Source organism: Homo sapiens, chromosome 16 (genome assembly GCF_000001405.40).
Source record: "Homo sapiens chromosome 16, GRCh38.p14 Primary Assembly".
Lineage (NCBI taxonomy): Eukaryota > Metazoa > Chordata > Mammalia > Primates > Hominidae > Homo > Homo sapiens.
Window position 1 is genome coordinate 19083228 of NC_000016.10, and position 6037 is coordinate 19089264.

The window sequence follows — 6037 nt, forward strand, 5'->3', positions numbered from 1 at the left end:
GGTGAAGGCCTCACACTGCTTCCACCAATGGTGGAAAGAGGAAGGGTAGTGGGCATGTCAAAGAGATTGAGACAGGATGCAAAAGAGTCAAACTGAGGAAGCCAGACACCTTTTAACAATGCACTCTCTTGGGAATTAACCCATTCCCAAGAAAGCGAGAACTCGCTCTTCCAGCAGGAGGACGTTCATCTATTCGTGAGGGATCCGCCTCGATCATCCAAACACCTCCCAACACTGCCACATTGGTGATCAAATTTCAACATGAGTTTTGGTTGGGACAAACCACATTGAAACTGTAGCACAGAGCAAAGCAATAGGAAAAATACAGGTGATTTAGTTTAGTTTTTTGTTTGTTTGTTTCTTTGTTTTAGGGTAGTTTTATGCAAATTTTAATTCTGGCTGTTAAATGAGAAAGCGATTTTGTACATTTACTACCCTTCAAGCCAGCAGAGCATGAAGAAACTTTCATCTTCTGAGACTCGGGTGCTATTTCTTGCCCTCCCATATCAAAGCTAATTTTATAAGTACTGCAGCCAGGAGTCTTAGTCCCATAAAGCACTTTGTACAATTCTTATTAAAAACCCAGGCTGTTTGTTTAGCCTCCCCTTCAGAATTGATGGCTGATGTTTTATGCTTCTGAGAGCTTCCAGAACAAGGCCAGAGAGATTTTTTGAATCTCCCTTTGATTGTTTTTAATTCCATTACAGCTTGTCCTTGTGTATTAACAAGGTAATCTTGTCTTTCTCTTACTTTCCTGATCTGACCTTTTAGGGAAAATGTGATTTTAAAATTGGACACTATCCAAAGATGATGGCAGGATGAGAAAGGATATTATTCTTGCAAGCACTGTAGTTCCAAGGAGGCGATCTGAACTATAGTTCTTTGCAAGTCTTTGATTCTCTCATTATTCAAAGTGTGGTTCATGGACCAAAGGCAGTGGTATCACATGGGAGCATGTTAGAAATGCAGAATTTGGGAATCTCTCCAGACCTACTCAAACAATTTGCATTTTAGAAAGATGTGGTGGTTTTAAAGTATGTCCACAAATTCCTTGATACACCTATGTTCGGTGGAGCTTGCTTCCCCTTGCCTTCCATGTGGGCTGTATTCAGTGACTTGTTTCTAACAAACAGAACACGGTGGAAATGAAGTGTGACATCCAAAGTTAGGTCATAAAAGACACTGTAAAGATTGGCCGTGTGTGGCTTACACCTGTAATCACAGCACTTCAGGAGGCCAAGGCAGGAGGTTTGCTTGAGGCCAGGAGTTCAAGACCAGCATGGGCAATATAGCAAAACCCTGTCTCTACAAAAAATAAAAATAAAAAATTAGCTGGGCATGGTGGCAGGTATATGCAGTCTTAGCTACTTGGGAGGCTGAGGTTGGAAGATCACTTGAGCCCGGGAGTTAGAGGCTGCACTAAGCTATGATCATATCACTGCACTCTAGCCGGGATGACAGAGCCAGATTCTGTTTAAAAAAAAAAAAGACACTGCAGCTTCCATCTTTCCCCCTGGGATTACTTACTCTTGGGGAAGCTAGCTGTCATGTCATGAGGATACTCAAGCACTTAATCTGTGGAGACGCTCACATGGCCAAGAACTGAGGCCTCCTGCCAATAGCCATGGGAGTACACCATCTTGCAAGTGAATCCTTTGGCTCCAATTCAGCCTTCAGATGACTGCAGCCCCCAACATGTTGACTCCAACCTCATGAGCGGCCCCAAGCCAGAATCAACCAGCTAAGTCACTCCTGAATCACTCAGGAGTGATTAGACCCTCAGCAACTATTTTAGATGATAAATGTTGTTTCCAGCTGCTGAGTGTTGGGGTCATTTGTTATGCAGCAATAGGTAACCAATACACCAGCTCCAGGTGATGTGGAAGCACGTTAAAAGTGTGAGGCGCACTGAGCCAGACCATAAACTCCTGCAAGGCAGACACCAATTTGGTCGTTTCCATGTCTTCAAGGCTTAGCGGAGTACCTGACATGCAATACATTTTTGTTGGACTAAAGACAAGGTTAAATTGCCCTGTTTTTAAAACATTAAAACTTTTTTTTGTAATAAAAATGCATGTATGCACATAGGAAAATATCCCAACAGTGCTAAAGGGTATTTACAGTGACAAGTAAATCTCCCTGTAGACTGTTGATTAACAGTAAATTGGTAAATCTGTTACCAATTTCCTTCGAGATAAGCTAGTAGCAACCTACCACTAAGTGCATTTTTCTCTTTTTTTCCACCTCCAAAAGTAATACTTGCCTCAAAATCAAATATAAACTGCATATAAGTAGAAAAAGGAAAGAGAAAAATAAAAAAAGGCTCTTCTTCCAAATGTTCCCTAGAAGCAACTACTATTAATAATTCAGTGTGTATCTTTCTGGATGGTTTTTAGAAATCTTTTATCCACATACATGTTTGAGTTTGTATTGTTCCCCAAATGGAATAATATTATGCATTGGATCTGCAATCTGTGCATTTCACTCGGTGACCTACACTGGCCATCTTCCCAAGTCAGTTCATAGAGCTCCATCTCGTTCCTTTAATTGGCTGCCATACTCTTCTATGAACCACTGCTGACCTGACCCAGCTCCTACCACAGCCCAGGCCTGTGGTTGAACCTCCTTGGCCTGGTTCCAGAGGCTGTAAACTTAACTACTAAGCCATTCTTCCTCCGCTTATCTTATCTTTTTGCCTCTTGGTGGACATCTGGGTTGCCTTTTTTTTTTTTTTTTTTTTTTCCTGAGACAGGGTCTCCTATTGTCCAGGCTGGAGGGCAGTGGGGTGATCATAGCTCACTGCAGCCTCAAATTCCCAGGCTCAAGCGATCTTCCTGCCTCAGCTTCCCAAGTAGTTGGGATTATGGGCGTGAGCCACACCACGCCCGGCCTGGGTTACTTCTAACACAGGCTTTTGGGGGCCCCCTAACGCTTAGGAGGACCATCTTTCAGAAGGAGGGACCCCTGGGAAGGAAGGACGAGCTCAAGGTTTTAACCCTTGGGAAGATCCCATACCTCTGATAATTTAATAAAAACACCAGACCCTCATTAAGGTCCTCCTTAAGATCCCTTGATCCAGGTGATTTGAGGCCAAGAAAACACAACCTTTCCCAACTCAGGGAAACCAAAGACACCTTTCAAAGTGGAGCTTCAGCCTCAACACCGCTCATGTCTGGCTTCTGCGGGTTCCCGAGAAACATCCCGGAGCGCAAAGCACTTTCCCACCTCATGTGTTCAGAGCTTGAAAAGGCGCTTCTCGCCCCCAGGACGTGCGTCCTCCCACTTCTGCCTCTGAAACGGCAACCCTGAGGGGCTGAGCCCGAGCACTGCAGGTTCTTTCATCCTGGATCGCGTAGAGATCGGCTCCCGGGCGCGCCAAGGGCAAAGAAGGTCTCGGGCCCTCGGCGCCCGCCTGTGTCCGGCAGAGGGCGCCCGCGCCCCACGCTGCGAACCCTGCGAGGCTCTGTTGCAAGGCCGGCGGGACAACGCCCGGCAGGAGGGCCGGGTCATTGCTGCGCGTTATATATGGTACATATGATACCCTGGCCACAATCCTCCAGTCCCGCGATCTCGACTTTGTTGAACGGGAACTGATGTCACGTGTGTGCACGGCCAGAGGCGGAGGGCTCGGCTGGCTGCTCCAGTCTGCGCCGTCCATGCGTCTCGGGTGTCCTATCCCGGAGGATACATTTTTCTTTTTCAGAAAAGGGAAACAGGAAAACGGGGACGATTAGACTCTATCTAGGGGAGCCATGTGGAAAAACCAGCTTCAGGCATCAGACAACATCCAAGGGGCTGCACTGTTTTTTTGTTTTTTTTTTCTGTAAGAGACAGGGTCTTGCTATGTCGCCCAGGCTAACCATAGCTCACTGCAGCCTCTAACTCCTAGGTTCAAGCGATTCTCCTTCCTCAGCCACCTAAAGTGCTGGGGTTACAGGTGTGAACCACCATGCCCATCTAATTTTTTTTTTTTTTTTTTTTTTTTTTTTGAGACGAAGTCTCGCTCTTGTCCCCTAGTCTGGAGTGCAATGGCACGATCTCGGCTCACTGCAACCTCCGCCACCCAGGTTCAAGCGATTCTCCTGCCTCAGCCTCCCGAGTACCTGGGATTACAGGTGCGTACCACCACACCCAGCTGATTTTTTAAATTTTATTTTAAGTAGAGACGGGGTTTCACCATGTTGGCCAGTCTGGTCTCGAACTCCTGACCTCAGGTGATCCACCGTCTCGGCCTCCCAAAGTGCTGGGATTACAGGCGTGAGCCACCACGCCCGGCGCCCATCTCATTTTTATTTTTATTTTTAATGACGAGGTCTCACTATTTTGTCCAGGCTGGTCTCGAACTCCTGGCCTTAAGCGATCCTGCCTCAGCCTCCCAAAGTGTTTCTTTCTTTCTTTCTTTTGAGAATTTCTCTTTATGATACTTTCTTCCCTGCACTTAAAAAAAATCCAATTATATTTCCAAAATTAGAATTTCCCAATGTTTAACCCTGGATTTTTAACTGGGCATGCCAGTCAGAATAAACCCGAGATTAAAAAAAAAAAAAAAATCTATGAATGCTCCTGCTCTATCCAGTCCTACTGAAGCAGCAGCTATGGGGCTGGGCCTAAGGGATGACCGTATTATAAAAACTCCCACAGGACCTCTGATGTGTAGCCCTGGTTAAGAAGCAATGGTTTAAGCCGGGTGCGGTTTCCAGCACTTTGAGAGGCCGAGGCAGGCAGATCACTAGAACTCAGAAGTTTGAGACCAGGCTGTGCAACACAGGGAGACCCTGTCTCAATAAATTTGGCCGGGCGCGGTGACTCACGCCTGTAATCCCAGCACTTTGGGAGGCCAAGGCGAGTGGATCACTTGAAGTCAGGAGTTCAAGACCAGCCTCACCAACTTGGAGAAACCCTGTCTCTACTAAAAATACAAAAATTAGCCAGGTGCGGTGGCAGGTGCCTGTAATTTCAGCTACTCAGGAGGCTGAGGCAGGAGAATCGCTTGAACCCTGGAGGTGGAGGTTGTAGTGAGCTAAGATGGTTCCACTGAACTCCAGTCTGGGTGACAGAGCGAGACTCCGTATCAATAATAATAATAATCATAATATTAATAATAATTTTTTAAAAAGAAGAAGCAATAGTTTAATTCCACAAAAGCATTCATCCTAAATCTGCTTCTGCTTGGATGTACTTTCCCCGCTTTACATCCTACTTGCCTGGGCTGATTCAGGATGTCCATTCTGTCCCGCTTTTCCTGCACTGTTTTCTGCTAGGATATGACCTATTGTTCCAATTTTCTGTAACTTATTCAGTGCTGTGACAGCTGGAAACATGTTTCAGACCAAGCTGTCTTTGCCAGGTGGAAACAATGGCAAACACCCATGCTTCCCATTCTGCTGGGGCGGCAGCCTCTCTATGGTATTTTCCATGCCTAATTTCTAAATGGCTTTATTGCAACAATTAAAAAAAAAAAAACCTGCACGGGAATGACACCTGTTGCACTTACTTATTGATGCTCTGTGTATGTGTGTATGTTTAAATAAGACCACATGGGCACTTAAAGAATAATTATTGGAGTTATTCATTTGACCGCTTTAAGGGCACACATTATTCTAAGTGCTGAGGAATAAAAGAATTTTAGAACATGAAATTCATATTTTCCCCTTATATCATTTAAAAGCAACACAAAACATTTCACTTTTGCTTCTTTGGAGGACAGCGGCACCATCATAGCTCACTGCAAACTTGGCCTTCCAGGTTCAAGCGATTCTCCTGCCACAGCCTCCCAAGTAGCTGGTATTACAGGCGTGCACCACCATGCCTGGCTAATCTTTGTATTTTAGTAGAGATGAGGTTTCGCCATGTTGCCCAGGCTGGTCTTGAACTCCTGGCCCAAAGTGATCTGCTCGCCTCAGCCTCCCAAAGTGCTGGGATTACAGACGTGAGCCACCTTTGCTTCTAATAGGAAGTTATTAGCTCTGCTAAATCAGGGATCCAGAGGGCTCTTTCTTCAGGTATTGCTTGATCCAGGAACTGAAACCAAACATTC